Source organism: Homo sapiens, chromosome 10 (assembly GCF_000001405.40).
Source record: "Homo sapiens chromosome 10, GRCh38.p14 Primary Assembly".
In the NCBI taxonomy this organism is placed as follows: domain Eukaryota; kingdom Metazoa; phylum Chordata; class Mammalia; order Primates; family Hominidae; genus Homo; species Homo sapiens.
In genome coordinates this window covers 81,930,993-81,954,466 of record NC_000010.11, presented here as the reverse complement: position 1 = coordinate 81,954,466, position 23,474 = coordinate 81,930,993, and the positions used below count along the sequence as shown (strand labels likewise).

At 38.6% G+C, this 23,474-nt stretch overlaps 1 protein-coding gene across 24 annotated transcripts in view, besides 1 other annotated feature; it reads right to left on the bottom strand.

Moving 5' to 3' along the window:
• Window positions 1-23,474, bottom strand: part of NRG3 (neuregulin 3) — a 1,111,986-nt gene that overhangs the window by 1,032,713 nt on the left and 55,799 nt on the right. The window lies entirely within an intron of this gene.
• Window positions 10,422-11,002: an enhancer, noted in NCBI's record as "OCT4-NANOG hESC enhancer chr10:83703221-83703801 (GRCh37/hg19 assembly coordinates)". NCBI's record gives its function as "activates a minimal SCP1, AML or CMV promoter by ChIP-STARR-seq in naive and primed H9 embryonic stem cells {active_cell/tissue: H9 hESC(naive and primed)}" and the evidence as "EXISTENCE:reporter gene assay evidence [ECO:0000049][PMID:30033119]".

The window sequence follows — 23,474 nt, the reverse complement described above, 5'->3', positions numbered from 1 at the left end:
CAGCAAACTGGTATGTTAATCTAATATTTGAATCACTAGAGAGTGATTTTTAGAAGCATCCATTGCATGCAATCAAAGAAAGAAAATAACTTCACTTCCATGAGATTAAAAAAGGACATTAACTATATAGTATACATTTTCATAAGTGTCATGACTGCCAGTATTCAAAAGGCTCAAAGTGATAAACAAAAAGGAAATTTCTGTCAGCTCCAGCACAGAAAAATAGACATTAGCAGCAAACATTTCCCATCCACAACAGGGCTGCTTCCTAAATTAACTCTGCTCTTACCACCTCAACTCTCATCAGCCCCCTCATCCACAATGAATTCAAAATGTTCCATGCTTTATTTTTAAAAATATTTAAATATATAGAAATACCCCAACTCTTGTATACCTGCCTAACTATTTTTAAAGATATAAAAGATAAAGCAAATATATTGATTTAGAATTTCATAACTGTCAGCTTGATTGGAAAATACTGAAATGAACAATAATCACTACCCAATTTTAAGTCTAATTCAATATATCTGACTTCCCAATATTCAGATTAAAAAGTTGAAAAGCTCTTTACAGTTCTACCAAAAATGTTGAGATGTTAATGAGTCAGTATCTTCCTGCTTAGACAACATAAGCCATAAACAAAGACAGGATGAAAAAGTTCTGCTTTCATTTTAGAAAAATCAAAGAAACTGAAAATTTGAGACTGGAGTCATCAAAAACTCTGGTGATATGTTTTATTTTCAGATCCTGATGACCACTAGAGCAGAATTAAACAGTGCCATTTTATGTTTGCTATAAACTATGTCATAACATCACAAAGGCAATGACTCACATTCTGGGAAGAAAGGCAATGGAGTCTATGATACTATTTAAATGTTCTGTAATGTGATACTTTATCAATCTCCTATTTTCTTGGGTTACTAACCAACATAGAAAAAGAGATGGACTTGGTGATTCACAAGAATGTATCAGAATGGACTGGAAGGTACAGACTGAGGTCTTTTCAGAGCCCCAGAGATAATCAAATACACAGTAATTACAGGAAAGACAGAGCCCTGCTGAGAACCAAGTTATAAGATTCTCTGGGGTGTTAGGTCTATTTCCACTGAGATAATAGCCATCAAGAGAAGGATGGAAAGACAAACAGAAATCACCTCAAGGGGCATACCCCTCTCCATAGGTTTCTCATCCCAAGCAAAGGATGGGGCTCTCAACCAACAGACTTGTGAAGTTTGGGAGGATCTTCAAGAATGGAGACAAACAGCTAGTTCTATTGTGGGTATCTACCTAGCCACAGGATCACAGACCTTTGCTACTGGAATTCAGGAAGAGTGTTAGAGAGAAATGACCTGGCAGTACAGGCAAGAGGAGGGGAGAAAATAAATGTGAGCCCCTAAGTCCCCTGTCAAGATCCAGAGTCAGTGCTATGGATGGCAGATGAAATTGCAGGTGACCAACTTGCAGGGCCTGCTGCAGATGAGGCCAGAGAGACAAACAGCTCAGAGAAGCATTAGCCTGGCCAGCCAGAAGTTAACGGCCAAGTGTCCAATGAGGTCAGTTAAACAGGATTGAGGCCAAGCGTGGTGCATCATGCCTGTAATCCCAAGTCAGGAGGATCACTTGAGACCAGGAGTTTTAGACCACCCTGGGCAACATAGCAAGATCTCTTCTCTACAAAAATAAAAATTTAAAAAAAAATAGCCAGGCAGGGTATGCACACCTTTAGTCCCAAGTACTCAGGAGGCTGAGGTGGAAGGATCGCTTAAGCCAGGAGTTCAAGGCTCCATTCAGCTATTATTGTGACACTCTACTCCAACACAGGTAGAAAAAAGTGCCCTGTGTCACTGAAAAACAAAAAAACCCAGGAATGAACTAACTGGGGTGCCAACTTCTGAGGCTGAGACCACCATTTGGGTGACCAGTTATCTGAAACAAGTCTTGCATAAGCAGGGAGATGCCTGTTTTCTTCTACTTTCTCCTTACTCTACTCATGGGGTAAAAAAGAGGTCTCTCTCTCTCTCCGCACCCCCCTGCCGCCTTCTTTCTCTCTCCCCTCCCTCTCTCTCACACGCACACATACACACACACACAAGCACACTTCAATAGTATAAGTGAAATCACCACAAATTTGGTCAGGTTGAGGAAAGGAAAAGGAAGAACTAAACTTTGTGTTTGTTTTAGTGGACCGGACTAAGGCATAATAAGTGGCATGACTCTTTATTATTATTATACTTTAAGTTTTAGGGTACATGTGCACAACGTGCAGGTTAGTTACATATGCATACATGTGCCACGTTGGTGTGCTGCACCCAGTAACTCGTCATTTAACATTAGGTATATCTCCTAATGCTATCCCTCCCCCCTTCCCCCACCCCACAACAGGCCCCGGTGTGTGATGTTCAATTCCCACCTGTGAGGGAGAACATGCGGTGTTTGGTTTTTTGTCCTTGTGATAGTTTGCTGAGAATGATGGTTTCCAGCTTCATCCATGTCCCTACAAAGGACATGAACTCATCCTTTTTTATGGCTGCATAGTATTCCATGGTGTATATGTGCCACATTTTCTTAATCCAGTCTATCATTGTTGGACATTTGGGTTGGTTCCAAGTCTTTGCTATTGTGAATAGTGCCGCAGTAAACATATGTGTGCATGTGTCTTTATAGCAGCATGATTTATAATCCTTTGGGTATATACCCAGTAATGGGATTGCTGACCTGGCATGACTTAAAATAAGCAACTGTAACAAAAAGTTTTAAAATTTATCCAAGACGTCACAAAAGGGGCTTCCTGACCAATTTAAGGAGGGTAAGTGTCAGAAGTTGAATACAACAGAGCCATTTCATGCTTGGACCCCAATAGGTTAGAGATCAACAAAAAGTTTGCAAAGGAATAAAATAATTCCAATCCACTTTTTCTAGGAGCAGTTGAATTCTCCAGGTGTCTGTGGGGGTGTTGGCCACATTGGGTTTGAAAATTCTGTGTGTGTGTATAAGCTCAGCAGTAGGAGTTTCCAGGATGTCAAACGCTAATTGCAAAGATTATTATTAAACTCTCAATAAACAGGAGGTATTTCATTCCTGATACACACCTAATTTGTTTCTGTTTTGCTGTTTCAAGTCTCAGGAAGGGAAATCAGTGCAAATCAGGAAATATTTTACAGAGAGGAAAAAGGACAGACAACAGCTGTTCAACTGTTGAAGCTTCTCTCAGTCCTGCCTGAGAAAACCACTTCAGAAAGAGAAGAAGAAAATTCTCTTGGCCCTTCCTGATCAATGCCAATTTGAACGGTGGTACGACTCTCCTACATATGGAGATCAGAAACGTTGACTTAAGGGAAAATTTCAGCAGCCACATGACTGGCTGCAAATGAATCAGTCATCTAAATATGATAAATGCTGATGTTCTAACCAATCTGTAACCCTCCAATGGTCAAATCCAGATATTCGATTGTTTTGTGTCCACCCTAATTAGTAGTAACAAGCATAAATAGCATTTTTAAATTTTTTTTTTCTCAAGGGCAAGATTGCAATTTACAAAAATTCAAACACAAAGGTTTTCAGTTTATGGCTACATTGACTAATAATATGTATTCAAATAAAAACACACACAAACCAGGAAAATGTTAGCAAAAGATGAATACTGAATTTTGAATGTATCATTCTTTCCATAAAGCGTTGCCTTTTATAGCTGTGTTGGGGGACAGCAAAGAATATAATTTAATAACACTTTTGCCATTTTATTCACCATGAACATGCCAGTAATACAATGAAATACTTCTCAGATAACACAGAAATGCTGGGCAACTGATGATATCCATAGATACACAAAATCCATCTGAAGGCAGCAGTTTACCTTCCCGTACAATGAGGCTTGGCTCTGTGTGATGCACTCTAACCAGCCCACACTTCAGCAGCGGCATCATTTGGATTCAGGGAGAGTTTCTGCAGCATGAAGGAGTAGGAAGAACACAGGGTGAGTTCACAGGAATCCCTACTTTTCCATGTGACCTTGTTTGGCCTGAAGTGATTTTCTTGACCTCTCTGGGCCTGACTTTCCTCATCTGTAAAGTGGAGGGTTTGAAAATATCACAGAAAACAAAATACCTTAAAGGATGCTCTGGCACACAGCAGGTATTTCCATATAATGATACCTCCCATTCCTTTTTATGTGAGCTATATCCCCTGAAACCCAGGTTTGACTAAATTGAGACCAACTTTCATAATATACACAATGACTGTTAGATATGAATTTTGGTGTGGTGAAGATGGGAGTGAAAAAGTAGAAAAGTCAAATCTCATTGAATAAAAAGGGTGGAACCCAAGATGAGAACATTTGGAATAGTAATCATCTGTATGGCTCCCAGAAACTTCTAAGAACTTGGCACATTGGAACCTCTATGCAAATCATATACGCCTCAAGAGTTGGTCTTCGAGCAGGAGGGCTTCTGGTTAATTTCCAGAGTCCCCTGGGAAATCTGGGCAATAGAGATGTGGCCTTCAGTGCAGCCCCGCTTGGGTTAGCTGGGATCTGATTTAAATCAGCAAAACTTCTGACTGATAAAGGTAGGTGCAATTAACACAGCTCACAAAAAATGTGTTAGCAAAATGTCTGCAGTAATGCTTTCAAGTCTCAAGAAAATTCTTTTCTCATGAGGACCAAGGACTTTAATGTTTCTGAATATCTCCACAAGTGAAATAAAATATTAATTCATCCTCTTGGCACCTCAGAGACATAGGTAACTGGCATAAATAAATACCAATTTCTCAAGGTCTAAATGTGAAACATTCTCATAACGTGTTTTTTTCACATATTGCCCCTTCCCTAAATCTTAACCATTAAATACAGAAAAAAATGTCATACAATAATTAAGAGTTACCCATTTGCCAGATACAACTAGCCTTCTGAAACATCCCTAAACCCTCGGGCATATCACACAGAGAGTACCAGTGGGCTGATGCAGCCATCTGGCCATGAGAGGGCAGATCTGACAGTTCCTAAACAAGGTGACGGTGGCTATGCCCTTAAGCAGGGCTGCACATTTGCATCACTGTAGATTTTACAGACTAGACAGGTCGCTAAGGATTACCCACTTGTTCTATCTATGTGTGTAGTAAAGAATTTATTAACCTTGCCCCAAAAGAGGTACGGCCTTAGTCCTTGACTTCCTGGAGGTAATTTCTTATGATTCTCATATGTAATAAGAGCGTCTTTGTTTACCTGAGGGCCTTGGGTCACACTGAAGAGCCTAACAGTATGATTCAGCCTGAGAGCTTTGAGCCATGTGGTATCAGCTCAGCCTTCTCAGAGACAGGAGCCTGAGATCTGCCATGTGGGTGGTCGACTATGTCAATGTGATGGAGCCCCAGTAAAATCTCTGTACCCCAGGGCTTGACTGAACTTCTCTGGTTGACAATACCCTATGTGTATTGTCACATGTTTTTGCCAGAAAAGTAAAGTTGTCCATACTCCCTGGGGAGAGGACAACTAGAAGCTCCACAAGGAAATGTTCTTGGACCCTGCCCCATGTCCCTTTACCCTTGGCTGATTTTAACCTGCAACACTTCCCTGTAATAAACTGTACCTGTGAGTATTACAGCATTCAGCACATTCTATGAGTTCTTCCTAGTGCATTATCGAACCTAGGGCTAGTTTTGAGGATTCTCATATTTGCAATTTGCATTAGACCCACAAATTTGCAATCAGTGTGGGAAATGAGGATGGGCCTATAGGTTGCCCTCTAACTTCACACTTTGAGAAAACTGAAGCTGGTAAAAGTGAAATTGCTTGCCTAACGAGTGCTAGTGTTAGGATTCACAGCCTGGCCTTTCCTTTGTACCTCCAGCATCTTCCCACTGTACAGCACTGCCTGTTTCAACAAAAAGCACAAGAACTTGCCTCAGTCTAGCAAAACACAGAATGTGTCCTCAGAAAGGGCTAAACGCAGACAAGAGTTCCACATTGCATTGCAAAAGTGATGATCTCCAAATCAGCTGGGAGTGACAAAATCCTCACATGGCCAGAACCGTTGGTTTGAGAGAGAAAGTGTATAATCTCAAGAAATATAAACTATGACCTTCTTCCCTACTATACAACCTATGCATTTTTTTCTGGAATCTAAGGGTTTGGAGATTATTAAAAGTCAAATGAACCACTCTGGTGAGGAATGTTGATAATGGGTGAGGCTATGCCTGAGTAGGGGAAGGGGCTGTATAGGAAATCTCGCTTTTCCCTCAATGTTGTTGTGAATCTAAAAATCATCTTAAAAAAATAAGCGTTTTAACACAAACAACATAAACAACAACTTTCAAGTGTCCTGCAGATTTTACAATAGAAGAAAAAGTACAAGAATATGTAATGCCCACAGGCTTCAGTTACTTGAGTCTGAAGGATGATCTTTTGTAGCCACTATGATTAGGGAGTGGAATAAGCAACCTTCAGACAAGGAGCACTTACCATGTGTTGAGCACTCTCTACTCTGCAAAGGAGGCATTAACACTCCTATTTTTAAAATGGAAACACACTCAGAGGGAGAAGTTAAGTAAACTTCTTAATATTATCAATCCAACACAATACAAATACGGGGTTCTATTCCAAAACTCCTGGAATCTGGGATGCCTGAGTTTCTCACTGAGGGGGTTAGCTTTGGAAGCCATCCCTGCGATAATGAAGTGCTGAAGTCCCCGACGGCACTTTTGTCATATTAGCTACTGTTTCCACAGTCAGTGATTAGACTAGGTCATACACTTCAGGTGTGCAAAGGTGGAAATCTATTATGTTACCATATCATTTGGCTCGGCTAATCTGGAAATGTTACCTGCTAGAAAAAAAAAAACCCAACATACTCATAGAACATGCCTACTCTGGGGCTTTCGGGTCAAATTAGATAGCACAAAGGTTATACAAATTGTAAGAATGTCAGAATGCCACTATGAGCAATGGGATCAAGGCCAATGGGGAGAGTGAGGCCCTGCTATTTGCAACCAGAACAGCCATACATGAAAATTCTGTCAGATGACAGGCAGTCTGGGCACCAGCCTGAAAAGTCATTTTGGTTACTGTTGTGAGTTGAATTGTGTACCTCCAAAAAGATAAGTTGAAGTCTTGACCCTAGTACCTTAGAATGCAATCTTATTTGGAAATGAGGTCTTTAGAGAGCTGATGGAATTAAAATGAGGTTGCTGGAGTGGGCTTCAATCCTACATAAACAGTGTTCTTATGAAAAGGGGAAATTTGGACACAGAGGGACATGCATAGAGAGAAGACGGCATGAAGAGACTCAGGGTGGATACTGCGAATAGACAGAGACCAAGACTGGAATTATGCTACCACAAGCCAAGAACTGGCTGAGGCTACCAGAAGCTGGAAGAGACAAAAAAAGTGTCCTTCCCCTATAGTTTCAGAGACAGCATGGCACTGCTGATACCCTGCCTGGACTCCAGACCTTGGTGCTAGCCTCCAGAATGATGAGACAATACATTTCTGTTGTTCTAAGCCACCCAGTTTGTGGTGCTTTGTCACAGCATCCCTAGGAAGCTAGTACAGTTACAGATTAGGTTTTGGAAGATGGCGATACTAAGCAAGACCAGGCCCGTGCCTAAGCAAGAGCCCGTGGTTTATATTTGGCCTGTTGAACTGCAAGATATTTTCCAAGCATAACTCAAAATTCATGAAGAAGTCTGTTCGGAGCATGAGAGACTATGGTAATCAGCAGATTCACGCCCATGATGGACAGCTCATGTATTCATAAAATATTTTCATTTTTGTATGAGTGTAGCAACCTGTGAGCATAATCCCATGGCTTTAGCTGCACATGTTATTCTTATTAAAACACACACACATAGACACACACTCACATACACAACCTTCTTATAATCAGATTACAGAAAACCAAAAACTTACCTTTCATCATGTGGTATGTCCCTTCCTTCCCTGCAGAAATACTTGGGCTATAAAACCTCTGAGGCTGCCAAGAGCCTTCCGGGGCAATTAATATAAACATACAAATATAAGAGTGCCTTTATTTTTCTTTTTCTTAATAAAACCACCATCTATATTAGTTTCCTAGGGTTGCCATTAAAAAGAACCACAACTTAGGTGGCTTAAACAGCAGGACTTATCTCACAGTTCTGCAGTCTGGAAGTTTAAGATCAAGGTATTGGCTGGGCGTATGCCTGTAATCCCAGCACTTTGGGAGGCCGAGGTGGGTAGATAACCTGAGGTCAGGAGTTTGAAACCAGCCTGACCAACATGGTCAAACCTCGTCTCTACTAAAAGTACAAAATTTAGCTGGGCGTAGTGGCGGGTGCCTGTAATCCCAGCTACTCAGGAGGCTGAGGCAGGAGAATTGCTTGAACCCAGGAGGCAGAGGTTGCAGAGAGCCAAGACTGCACCATTGCACTCCAGCCTGGACGACAAAGCAAGACTCCGCCTCAGAAAAAGAAGATCAAGGTATCAGCAAGGTTGGTTCTTTCTGAGAGGTTCGTTCTGAGAGATTCTGAAGGATCTGTCCATGCCTCTCTCCTAGCTTCCGGTGGTTTCCTGCAAATCTTTGGTGTTTCCTGGCTTATAGATACATCAATCTCATTTCTGCCTCCTTCCTCACATGGCATTCTCCCTGAGTGCACGTCTGTGCACAAATTTCTCCTTTATATAAAGACACCAGTCATGTTGAAATAGCGGTCTCCCCCACTCCAGTATGACCTCATCTTTACTAATTACATTTGCAATGACCCTATTTCCAAATAAAGTCACATTCTGAGGTGCTGGGAGTTAGTACTTCAATATATAAATTTGGGGGGTTGAAAGGACACAATTCAACCCAAAACACCATCCCCTACTGTATCAAGATGTAAAAGGTGGCCTTATAGTTAACTCTACTTTTATAAAGATTTGAAGTATAAGATTGCTTTTGTTTTCAGAGCAAAGATATTATGTGTTCTATGAAATGCCAATGACTCAATTTCCAGAATGCATTTATGGGCAAAATCGCAATTTAAAACAAGGAAAGGAAGACAAAATGTAACTCAGTGTTATGGTTAAGGCTCTTACAACTTTTCTTGTTTTCATTCATTCAGTGAACCAAGCATTAACAGTGAGCTACAGCCTAGCGCAGGGGAAGACTTAGAAGGAGGAGGAGGAGTAAGAGGAGGAAGGAGAAAGAAGGAGATAAAAGAAGGAAAAAGAAGGAGGAGGAAGGGGAGTGAGGAGAATAAGGAAGAAGAAAAGTAAAGATTATACGATCCAGACCTTCTAGGAATTAACACCAAGTCATGGAAAAAAAACAAAACAATGGACAAAATAAGGTCCAATCCAGTTGTGACAAGTGAGATATTCAGACAATGACCAGAACAAGGATTCAGGAAGAGAAAGAGCCCTGAGAAGTAGGTGAGCCACAAAAGGCCTCTCTGCAGAGGATGTGGAAGGAGGTCTGGGGGAGGTAGAAATGAGATCATCCCAGGGGTGGGCACCATTAGAGCTCAGGGGCAGTGGAATCTGGATGGAACTATGGTTGGTGCTGGGAAGTGGTGGTTGAGGGTTAAAATGCAAAAATAAGTCACACCCCAGAGGTCTAGATCATGCCAGACTGAGGGATTTTGCCTTTATATCACAGTACTTGTGGTAAACAGATTTCCAGTTTTTGAAAATGTGCCATGGGTGCTTTACTGGAAGGGATAATTTCCATCTGTGACTTAGAGCTCAGGATACGTAGAAGTTTCATTCATCCTATAATTCAAATTGACTCCCTCTGACTCACGGAAGATCAGCCTTGTTTTTCAGCCTATGTAGGTTCAGCATGAATTGCATCTTTTGACTCCTGCCACAAAAGATGAGGCATATCATTGCCTTTTGTTTACTTTCCTTTCCCTGACACTTACTAACCTATACCAATCATTTAGTTTTATAATCACATTTCTAACCAATATCTTTAAGTTTAACCATTTCAAACAACATTTTCCCCATGTATACTAAAATTTTTCAGTTTTTAAAACACTTTTATTCACCACTCTTTTTCTGAAAATCAAATTAAGTTTTCTTTTAGTCTTTCAAGTAAAGGTTATGGTGACATATTTCTTGAGACACTGCATATTATGCAATTTTTAAAACTCTCTTGTAGCTATACAATGACTTTCTAAAATTTTATTTTAGTTTATCGTTGGTATATCAGAAGCATACTCTTTCTGTAAACATTTAGGTTGATAATGCACTGCTGCTCTTTGTATATTATGAGCTCTATGTTGTCTCTTCTGACGCTTGCCCTTGGGCATGCCATGTGGATTTCTTTTTGTCTGCTTACTTGCCATTTGAGTGACTGTTAAATCACCTTCTCAGGTCTGAAGTTAAAAACAGGTAGATGTCACAGGCGTGTCTGGTGAACAGAAATCACTCATCCACTGTGGCTCTGTTAAACGGGGGTAGAAGCTTCTCCTTCCCTCTCCTGTCCTATGGCTCTCAGTACTGGAGCATAACCATCTCAGCACACCTGCACCTGCAATCACGTTCTTGCTGTCACAGCCCCAAAACTGTGGAGACTACACTTGTCACAATGTGGTAAGTCATCTGTAGTTCCCATGCTTCCTCAGAGCACCCCCCACTTTCCTCTTGGAGGTGGAAGCTGTGAGTAAATGTAAGAAAAAAATCATCAGTGGAAGAATGTACCTTAACTACAGTATAAAGCACCACGATTGTAATGGTAAGAGATACATTGTTTTCTAGCTGATGAAGCCTTTGGCCTCAGAGGCCAGCAGCAAACAACAATGGCCTGAAATGTTTTTCTTCCTTTCTTGGGGCAGTGTGACTGGTCTACTTTATGGGTCTTATGAAAGTTAAGTCACTTCTGCTTTATTCACAATCTAGGCAGAGTATCTTTACATTGATCCCCTTTCAGATCCAGGCAGTAGGCTGCCTGCTGGTATGCAATGGAAATGGGATGGAAGTTGCAAGATTTCATCTTTTTCTCTCTTCAATGCCATTTTAGTCGGAAATTGGAAGAGATTATTTCAGGAGATGCTTTCCACAAGATTAGTAAGGGGGAAGCCTGAATTGTTAAAGATGGCACATACAACCCAAAAACTTAATGCGTCAAATTATTATTATTTTTTAAGAGTAGCCCAGGATGGAGTGCAATGGCAAGATCACAGCCCACTGCAGCCTCAAAGTCCTGGGCACAAGTAGTCCTCCTGCCTCAGCCTCCTGAGTAACTGAAACTACAGACATGTGTCACCATACCTGGCTATTTTTTTCATGTTTGTAGAAACATGGTCTTTCTATGTTGTCCAGGCTAGTCTTGAGCTCTCAAGCAATCCTCCTGCCTCAGCCTCCAGAGTTGCTAGGATTACAGGCATGAGCCACCATGCCCAGCAATTAATGCAACTACTACTTGTGTAATTTAAATAAATAAGAGATGTAAAGTGTAAAATATGTCCATGTGATAAGGTAAATTATGTGACACAAAAATAGAGGTTATAGGGAGAAAACACAAACTGGCCGGTAGAAAATGTTCTTATTTAGAAGACTCTAACTTTAATGTTCTAAAAACTAATGTGATTAATATTAATGTTTCTAGGTTCTTTCGTTATTAATCCTCAAAAGACTAATCAAAGAATCACTTGTACATTTATATTTTGATAATTATATCATAGCTGAATTCACTATTCATTGGCTATCTGGATACAGTTATTGCTGTCCTCGTAGTCCTTATGTGTTAGTATAATGTGAAAGTCCACCTGGTATATGTGAGGTCCTCAAACGGCATAAACAAAATTGGAAATTGCATGAGAAATTGCAGCTAGATCAGTGAATTGAGGAAAGATAAGGGGCTCAATGTTGACTCAACAGAGTTGGGAAACTTGAGAAATCTTTATCTTCACAATGTAAAACAAATCTAGCTAATTTTAAGATAATCCAAAGCATGTATAAGAAAAATGGAATTTTCAAGGAAGGCATCAAGGACTGATATAGATCTTGTGTAGTCAACGGCTGATAACAGTTGTTTTCTCCACCTAATTATAGAGGGGGTGTATTATTTTGGAAACAACTTTATGTTTATTTAAAACTTAAAGAGAGATTTGATGTAATGAGTCCTACTTACATCAAAAACTGAGGACTATGAGTCTTTTCAGAAAGCGGGTAGCATCTGTCATATACAATGTGCCTATTCTGCTGGGACTTGCATTCCACCTCTTTTTTCCAAGAACGTGTTCACAATGAGCACTAAAACGCAGTCGCATTTCTGTTATGTGGAGGAAACAGCACAAACATCTTTTCTGCCCTAGAAATTTGAATTCTGGGTTGGAGTCTTCACTTTGTAAACTAATCTCAGGGAAATTCTAGCCTCTGAATTATTCATTTGCTCAAAGATAAATCTTCCTTTACCAAGCATATATTTTAAAGTATAGGAATAACTCATGAAATTTTAGGCCTACAAAGAGGTGGTGGGAAGGAAAAGGATGAGAAGATCTAAAGTTTGATAAAATGACTTCTAAAATGTAGTCTTCTGTTGGAGGAGAGATAAAAGCAGCATGATTTAGTCCAATGGTTTGTTTCTTTTGCCTCAGAACTACTTATTTTTCCAGGGAAATGCTAATGCAGAAGTTCAATATGTAAAAATCAATGTCTAACTCTGTGGTTGAAAGAGGATGGATATCCCAAAGTTTGACCCACAGTATGTCTGTTTACCACTCTCTCCAAGCCCCAAGAAGATATCATGGGTTATTCCTGAACAGATTTCCCCAGAATGCCCCAGAACTGCGGAGAACACTGTGAATAAACTGGACATACTGCTAGGAAAAGCAGGGGCCATAACTCACTTCTAATCTAAAACTCATTTTCTTTCTTCTTTAACTTAGACCAGTTTCACAGAGCTTTTGTAAATAAGCATGATGATTTTAAAACGATCTCTTAGCCTGACATGAGAGGCTTTCAATTTAATTTTTATTCCATTCCTCCACTGTGATCAGAACCACTTTATACATTTACAGTTTTCGCTAACAGTATTTCTTCAAAAATTAATAGATGCACACGTAGAAATTAGTATAAATTGCCTAGAATCATCCATCTTCCTCTCCACTCAGAAATGCACATTTCAAGTGAGGTACCCAATGACAAAATTATCTTACTGAAATTTGTTTCAATTTTACCTGTTACCAATTTTTAGGTGATGGAGAAGTGATTACTAAACACAATTTTTAGTGGTGAGATTCAATAACAAAAATGCATAATATCTCCCCACAGGCCATCTTCCTACTTCATATTCTCTGGTCGTCACAAGTAAAAATTATGAAATGGGGTGCTAAAATCTAGAAATAGAATTGTCTCTTGTGCATGCTGTTAATAGGGTATGTAACAACATGGGTGGAAGTAATTTGGCATTGTATATCTTTTTCATCTTGAATTCCCTGCAGTATCATTTTAAACTTTTAAAGCTTCATTTTATTTTTACTGTGCTTCTTAGAGAACACACAATAAGGTAAGAATTATATATCTATTGTAACTTCATAAATGAGAAGTTAAAAGCTCATATATCACAGACACACAAGGGAAGGCTTCAGAGTTTCCTCCATCTATAAAATGAAAAGCCTCATCCAAATCAAGATGTGATAGGATATACATTCGGTACCTTAAAAATATTAGATTCTGATCTAATATGTTAGACCCAATGCAGTCTGCTCCCCATTATCTATTCTTCACTTTTTCTGAATATAATCCTTATTTTTAGAGGTGCACGATACCTGGAATTGGACTACATTTTCCAGCCTTTTTGCATGTAAGCATGACCAAAGAGAGCTAATGAGATTCAGCCAATGTACTGCAAAGAGCTTCTGCAAACACTCCTTAAAAGACAACTCATGTAGGCCAAGGTGAGAGAATTGCTTGAGGCTAGGAGTTCAAGACTAGGAGCCTGCACAACATAATGAGACCCCCATCTCCTCAAAAAATAAAAATAAAAATAAACCATCAGCTGAGCATAGTGGCATACACTTATAGTCCCAGCTACCTAGGAGGCTAAGGCAGGAGGATAGTTTGAGCCTAGCAGTTCAAGGCTGCATTGAGCTATGATTATGTATTGTACCCCAGCCTGGGAAATAGAGTGAAACTGACTCTAAAAAACAAAAAAGACAACTCATTAATAATCAGAGAGAAGATAAATAAGGAAACAAAGGATGTGAACAACACTGCAAACCAACTGGACCCAAGAGACATATACAGAGGTCTCCACAGAATAAGAGCAGAATACACATTCTTCTCAAGCATATGCAAAACACTCTCCAAGATAAATCATATCCTATAGCACAAAACAAGTCTTAACACATTTAAGAAGACTGAACTAATATTAAGCATCTTTTTCTGACTATAATGTAATAAAACTAGAAATCGACAGCAAAAGGAAAACTGGAAAATTCACAAATAGATGAAAATAATACATTCTTGAACAATGAATGAGTCAAAAATAAATCATAAAAGAACTTAGAAAGTATCTTGAGACAAATTACAATGAAAACACAGCATACCAAAATCCATGGGATATAGCAAAGGCATTAATATAAAAGAAGTTTGTAACAGTAAAATGCCTATATTTCTATAAAAAAAATCAAATCAACAACATGACTTTATACATCAAGGAACTGGAAAAAGAAGAAGAAAAACTAGACTCAAAGTTAGCAGAATGAAAAAATAATAAAGATCATAGCAGAAATAAATGAAATAGAGACTAGAAACACAATAGGAAAAAATCAACAAGAGTAAGATTTGGGTTTTTTTTTTTTAATAAGATCAACAAAAGTGACACACCCTTAGCTAGACTAAGAAAAAAGAGAGAAGACTCAAATAACAAAAACCAGAAATGAAAGAGGAGGCATTACAACTGATGCCACAGAAATAATGAGATGAATAAGATATTGCTATAACTAATCATACACCAGCAACGGGGAAACCTAGAAGAAAGTGATAAATTCCTAGAAACATACAACTTACCAAGACTGAACATGAAAATATGAAAATCTGAACAGCTCTATAACTAGTAAGATTATTGAATGAGTAATAAAAAAATCTCCTAACAACAACAACAAAAGCCCAAGACTAAACAGCATCACTGGAGAATTCTGGCAAACACTGAAGGAAGAATTAACACCAGCCTTTCCCAAACTCTTCTAAAAACTTGAAGAGGAAACATTCAAACTTACTTTATGAGGCCATTTTTACCCTAATACCAAAACAAGACAAAGAAACTACCATAAAATAAAACTATAGACCAATATCTATGATAAATATTGATGCAAAAATCCTCAAAATCCCTAAAAAAATACTAGCAAACTGAATTCAACAGCACATTAAAAAGATTACACACCATTACCAAATGAGGTCTATCCTTGGGATGCAAGGATGGTTCAACATATGAAAAATCAATCAATGGGATATGCTACATTAGTAAAATAAAGGACAATGAATCTCATGGTCACCTCAATGGATACAGTAAAAGAATTTGACAAAATTAAGTACCCTTTCATGATAAAAACGCTCAACAAACTAGGAATAGAAGAAAATTACCCAGCATATTAAAGGCTATATATGAAAATTTCACAGTTAACATTATACTCAACAAGAAAAAATTCAAAGCTTTTCCCCTATGATCAGGAAGAAGGCAAGGATACCCACTCTCACCACTTCTATTCAGCATAGTACTGGAAGTCCTAACCAGAGCAATTAGACAAGAAAAACAACTAAAAGGCACCAACAGGTGAAAAGGAAGAAGTGAAATGATCTCTGTTCACAGATGGCATGATTTTATAAGTAGAAAACCTTAAAATTTTTGCATGCATGCATGCATGCACACACACACACACACACACACTGTCAGAACTCATAAACGAATTCAGCAAAGTTGCAGCGTACAAAATCAACATTAAAAAATTGTCTGTGTTTCTACACACTAACAATGAACAAACAAAAAAGAAAATTAAGAAAACAATTCCATTTACAATATCATCAAGGAGAATAAAATACTTGAAAAGAAACTTAACCAGGGAGGCAAAAATTTGTACACTGAAAGCTATAAGACATTGCTGGAAAAAAAAAAACACACACACACACAAATAAATGGCATGATATCCCATGGCCATGGATTGTAAGACTTAATATTGTTAAAATGTCTATACTACCCAAAGAGATCTGATTCATTGAAATCCCTTTCAAAATCCAAATGGCATTTTGCAGAAATTTTTTTTTTAATTTCAAAATTCTTATGACATCTAAAAGAATCCTGAATAGCCAAAACAAAGAAAGAAAAGCAAAGCTGCAAGCCTCATGATTCCTGATTTCAAAACATATTACCAGGCTACACTAATCAAAACAGTACTGGCATAAAGAAAGACATACAGAGCAGTAGAATGAAACAGCCCAGAAATAAACTCTCAGGTCTTATGACCAAATGATATTCAACAAGAGTGTCAAGACTACACAACAGGGAAAGGACTGTCTCTTCAACAAATGGTATCAGGAAAACTGGATACCCACATGGAAAAGAACAAAGTTGGACTCTAGCCTTACATCATATATAAAAATTAGTTAAAAATGGGTTAAGGTCTTTAACATAAGCCCAGAAACTATAAAACTACTGGATGAATCAGGGGAGAAGCTTTATAACATTAGATTTGGCGATATTTCTTGGCTATCACACCAAAAGCACAGGCAGCAATAGTAAAACAGACAAATGGGATTACATCAAACTTGAAAACTTCTGCACAGGAAAGCAGTCAACACAGTGAAAGGCAACCTAGAGGATGAGAGAAGATATTTGCAAATCATATATCTAATAAAGGGTTAATATCCAGAACATATAAAGAACTCCTACAACTCAACAACAACAAAATAACTCCATAAAAAATGTGCAAACAACTTGAATAAATACCTTTCCAAAGAAGATATCCAAATGGCCCACAAGCATATTAAAAGATTATCAACATCACTAATCTTTAGAGAAATGCAAATCAAAACCACAATGAGATATCATGGCCATTATTAAAAATAATAATAATAATAAATGTTGGTAAGAATGTGGAGAAATTGGAACCCTTGTGCACTGTTGTGAATGTAAAATGGTGTAGCTGCTATGGAAACATACGGAGGTTCTTCAAAAAAAATAAATAAATTACCCATATCCTCTAGCTATCCCATTCCTGAGTATATATTCAAAAGAACTGAAAACAGGACCTCAAGGAGACATTTGCACACCCATGTTCACTGCAGCATTACTCACAATAGCCAAGAGGTGGAAGCAACCTAAATGTCCATCCGTGGATGAATGGTTAAAGAACACGTTTTCTATGCATACAATAGAATTCGTTCAGCCTTAAAAAAGAAGAAAATCCTGTTATATGCTACAACATGGATGAACCTTGAGGACATTATGTGAAGCGAAATAAGCCAGCCACAGAAAGACAAATGTTTCACGATTTCATGTTTGTGAGTTATCTAAAGTAGTCTAACTTTTCAAAGGGAACTGAGGTTCAGTTCTGCAAAAGATGGAAAAGTTGTAGAGATCTGTTGCACAACAATGTGCATAGAGTCAACATTAGTGTACTGTACACATGACATGATGATTAATTTTTTATGTGTTTTTTATAATAATTTTTTAAACACAATTTACACATGGCTTCCCCTCCCCTCATCTTTTGGACCCTACCCTCATGCTGCCTAGAACAGATGTGGAGGGTAAAGCACTAATCACCATTTTGGACCATGACAGCAAGGCCCATACCCTGACTATAGCAGGGTGGTGAGTTAGAAAGAGCTTCGGCCCCAACCACCTTACGGAGCAAAACCAAAATAATATCCCTAATCAACCAACTAATACAAACTGTAGCTGACACAGGGTCTCTCTCACATGTTCTCTTGTGAGCCATCTGTGGTTCTCCCACTCACTTCTGTACACACAACCATCCTCACTTACACTGTCTACTTCCTGACCCCTTTCCTGCTTCCCTCCCATCCATCTTTCACAGTTATCAGAATACAGTCATAAAACACCAAGCTGATCATGCTTAGTAACCTACAGAGACTCCTTCAAAACCTAATTCTAAGCTACCTCTCCAGACCCACCTCATTTCAGTTTCCCTTATGCAACTGTTGGGAATAGAACTCCAATCACAGTTTGGTTCACTGTTTCTTGAATGTTCCATACTCTTTTCAAACTCAGAGATTTTATCCAAGTTACTCCGAGTGAAATTCTCCTTTCTTATATTTCTCCCCAGCCTCTTCTCAATCTTTTGACATATATTAACATGTCAGTTCTCATTTCAGTTTTTTCCCCAGGTCCCAGGTATAATTATTCACTTTCTCCACTGTTCCCTCTATTCCATAGGCACATAACACAAGGAAGTATAATAGATCTCCTTCTATCATGTCTGCCCACTTACATGGTGAACACAGGCAGGACCATAACTGAAACACGCCACTGCTGTGCAATTGGGGACATAACACTGGGTAAGACAAACCAGTTCCTTCCCCCCAGAGAGCTGACATTTTAACCATTTTAACACAGGAAACTGTGTGTGTGTGTGTGTGTGTGTGTGTGTGTGTGTGTGTGTGTGTGTGTTCAGGCACTGAAAAGTATAATGAAAAAAAGCTGGGTAAATTGAGAAGCTGGACAGTGAAAGTGACTCCAAGGAGGAACAAAGGGTTGTGTAACAAAGGGTTATACAGGTTGGTCAGGAAGGCTCCTCAGAGGAGGTGGTCCTGAAGCAGGGATATGAATACTGTGGGAGAAGTCTCAGAGAGAGTGGCCCATGCAACAGAAACAGAAAGTGCTCAATCCTTCTGTCAAATAGGCATCAAGAAGAACAACAAAGGTGGGGAGGGGGTGATGTTATCCACAGTTTCTTTGTTGTTGTTGTTGTTGTTGTTCCCTGAAATAGGTCACAGATGACAAATGGGCTACTTTAGCCACTATAACAAAGTATGGCAATTAAATCCACCTAAGTATAACCTGACTCTAAAGTTTCTCAGCTACTAAAACCTATCTTTTCCTTACTTACCTTTCATCCTTATACAATAAATGCATTTTGCAAACTAAAAACAAAAATCGTCATCTGGTGCTTCTGATGTTGCTTAGGAAATTACTCATCACAAATTATTCATATAATGACAGAACTCCATTGAGTTATTTTTTCCCCAAAATGACATATTAATACCTAAGGACACATGAATATCTTGCCAAACAAACTCATATTTGCAGATAATTATACTTAGTGCCAAATAGGCTAAAGCTCTCTAAAGAACAACATAAAAAAGCGAATTCCATATTTATCTGGAAAATTGTTCCTCTACACTTTAAACCAAAGGGTACTAGGAAATTTCAATAGCAGTCTCTGGGAATCTTTTCCTTTACCAAATTCCAAAGCTTTAATCCATGAATAAAATAACACAATGTAATAAACAGCCATGGCTTAAATGTTTTGGGTGAAATACAAAGTAGTTCTATTCATTGCAACATGTGTTTTGGAATCTACTTCTGGAGTGAAGGCCTCTTAGTGTCAGCAGTTAATTGAGGCTTGGCCCTGGGGAGATAGGAATAGCATGTTGTCATAATATGCTAACAGGCTACTGAAGATGATACAAAAACATTACCTATAGTAACATACCAATAACTTAAAGATGTAATTCATCAAATAGAGCATGATTTGTCAATATGTAGAACACAAGGTATGTAAGAGTAGAAACAAAATTACCAAAAAAGTAATAGGTGATCTAAAATAAATTATAGCAAAAAATTGCAAATCCCAATTCCAAACCCAATTTACTTAAAATTTTACTCTTAATTTACTGAAAAGCAATACAGTGCTTAATTGTACAAAAGGCCACATATATCTAAAGAAATCTCTCCATCTATTACAGTATGCTTGGATGAGTCACTTTCCATAGATTTGCCATCCTCAAAAGTACAGTGTCTCCAATAAAATGAGCTCAAGGAGAAGGAGAGACATTTCCATTGTTGTATGATAGAAGCTTTATGTGTGTCACAGCAATTACCACGGAGGGAGTGTCCGATGCTTAAGGAGAATGACAGAATAGAAGGAAATGCAAAATTCAAGCACAGATGAAATGATGGCAAAGAAAGAACCACCACGGTGTTTAATGAACAATGCTGCAACTATTCATTACGCCTCTTCTCCAGCTGATCATTAAGCTTTCAGCACTGTTTATGCAACAGAAAAGGAAATGTTGACTGAAGATTTCATACACTTACTATTCACACAAAGAAGAAACCATGAACAGTATAATCTGCAATTATAGTACCTGCCGAAACTGGATCACTGTCATTGAACCTGGTTATTAGTTGTTGTAAGCACTGTCAGAGGCAAGATAACTTCTGAATTGGGGATCTGTCTGGTATGATCATTGGAGATACGGACTTGAAAGCTCATGAAATAAATTATATAAAATTAAACTGGTTTAAACAATATCCAAATGGTTTTCAATATCTATGACCTCATGGTAGAAGAAATCATTCCTTTAATTTCACAAATTAGAGGCTTCTAAAAAGTCAAATTTTTCTGTCACTACTTTTAACCATCTTCACCATGCCATTATTGTAGAATAACATAATTCAGTGTTTATTAAATAGAAAAAACAATGAGTGTAATTCATATATGCCAACATCATTTGTAGCAGAAATACAGGCTACTCTATAAAAAATATACTGAATGAATGACTCTTATAGTTAGCTTACCTTTAATAACCTGCTGGGCATACACTTTCATCTTGTACCAATCAGGAAAACACTTTACAAACTTACCAACTGAGAAGAGGTGCCTGAAAGTATATGTTGTATAGAGTACCGTAGAAACAATTACTCATAGGACACTTTGGAAGAAACTTGAATTATCAAAATAATTGAATCCCTAGCATTAAGTGATATACCTAATGCTAAATGATGAGTTAATGGGTGCAACACACCAACATGGCACATGTATACACATATGTAACAAACCTGCACGATGTGCACATGTACCCTAAAACTTAAAGTATAATAATAAAATAATAATAATAATTGAATCCTATGTCTACTACTTACCATCTTATTCATTAATGAACATATCTCCTTAACTTCAATTTTCTGATCTACAAAATTGGGACATAAGTATCTATCTTGCAGAGCTGCTGTGGGAATTATACATAATTAGATAAGATCGTGGATCTGAAGGATTCTAGGAAGAAGTCTGCCATGGTCATATAGCAGGCATATTGTTGTGCTAGCTTCAGTCCACCCTTCTTAGAGGCTTGATCCTCTTTCATTATATCCTGAGTCATATGTGATCAGAAAGAACAAATTTCTTTTTTTCTTTTCTTTTTTTTTTTTTTTTTTGAGATGGAGCGTTGCTCTGTTGCCCAGGCTGGAGTGCAGTGGCACGATCTCAGCTCACTGCAACCTCTGCCTCCCGGGTTCAAGCAATTCTCTGCCTCAGCCTCCCAAGTAGCTGGGATTACAGGTGCCCACCATCACGCCTGGCTAACTTTCTTGTACTTTTAGTAGAGATGGGGTTTCACCATCTTGGCCAGGCTGGTCTTGAACTCCTCACCTTGTGATTCACCCGCCTTGGCCTCCCAAAGTGCTGGGATTACAGGCATGAGCCACCGTGCCTGACCAGAAAGAACAAATTTCTGAACAAAAAGATCAGAAAGACCATGACCCTTTGGACGGTGACTAGAAGCTATCAAACACCTACTATCTTAAAAAACAACACTGAAAACTGGAAATGAATCTATGTGATCTATAATATTTTCAGCAATGACTAATCCTTTCTTGTACTGTTTTTGCTTAAAGGTAATTGAAATACTTAAGATTGTACAACATACAACCTGCAGAGTACATTTCAGAGGGATGATGCATGAGTAAATATCGCTTTGGAGCTAATTTGATAAAATATATTGTTCCAAATTAACTTTAGATTCCAAAGTAAATTCAGAAATGGTTTTGAAATAATTGTGAAGAATTACTTCTTACCTATGTCAAGCAGTAGATTACATGCTGATATAGTTGGGATATTTGTCCCCAGCTAAACCTCATGTAGAATTGAAATCCCCAATGCTGGGGGGCAGAACCTGGTGGAGGTGTGTGGATCATGGAGGTGGGTCACTCATGGCTTGGTGCTGTCTTCATGACGTGAGTTCTCACAAGATCTGGTCATTAAAAAGTGTATGGCACTTCCTCTCTCTCTCTCTCTCCTCTCTCTCCTCTCTCTCAATCTCTCTCTCTCTCTCTTTCTCTCAATCTCTCTCTCCTCTCTCTCTCTCTCCTCTCTCTCAATCTCTCTCTCCTGCTTTCACCATCTGACGTGTTTGCTCCTGCTTCACCTCCTTCCACCATGACTGTTAGCTTCCTGAGACCTCCACAGAAGCCAAGAGATATCAGCATCCAGCTTTCTATAAAACCTGCAGAACTATGAGCCAATTAAGTCTCTTTTATTTATAAATTAGCCAGTCTCAGGTATTTCTTTATAGCAACACAAGAATGGCTTATACACGTGCCTTATCCTGAATTGCCCAGAGTTCAGACTCTTTTTAATGGGAGATGTAATGGCATTGTTTTTAGTCATAATCTCTCCTGAACAATGAAACAAAAAAGCTTTCTGCCTGGTTTCTTAAAAGTGCATGCAGAATAAACACTTCCTTCTCTCTAAGAATGGGAGTGAGTATCTTCCGAAACTTCATCTCCTGTTAATGGGCAATTAAGTACTATTGGGAAAAGGGGGAACGATGAGGTTCATCTGATTGTGTTTTGTTTAGTTGGGCTTTTAGAGAATGAATAGTAAAAAGAGTGTGGGTGTGGAAATCCAAGAATAGGCACCGTCAGGTGATAAATCTCAAGGTATAGAAGTAAAATGAAGAGCCCCTGGAAGACTGAATACTGATTCTTGAAAAAGTTCCCAAGGAGAGAGAGGGACCACAACCCAAAATGGTGGACCAGGGGAGGACAGTGATGACAGCCTTTGTTCTAGAGCCCAGGGATTGTGTGGAAATTGAATCCCCCATCTCTTTCAAGACTTCTAAGTCTGGTTTCAGGGAAATCTTTTGTTGCATAATAAAGAATTTAACTGGCCTTTGAACCTGGTTCCTGGAAGACAGAATCTATATCCTTGGAATTTCCCAGGTAATAGAAGAGTCTTTGATATTCATGATCCCTTGGATCAAACTTTTGAGTTTATGCTCATGAGATGAGATGACTGAGAATGGAAGCTGGTCAACAGAAAGACCTAACATGTAATTAGAGAGTTAAAGCTCTGAACCAGCCTGACCTCCAGAAAAGTGAGGGAGTTGGAGCTTGAGTTCAATAATGGGGCCAATGTTTAATCAATTACATCTATGTAATGAACAGGGAAGTTTGCTGAAACTTCCCGCTTGGTGAATACATCAATGTGCCAGGAAAGTGATGTAAGCAGACAGGGAGGGTCTCCAGGGACTATAGAAGTTTAACCAGCTT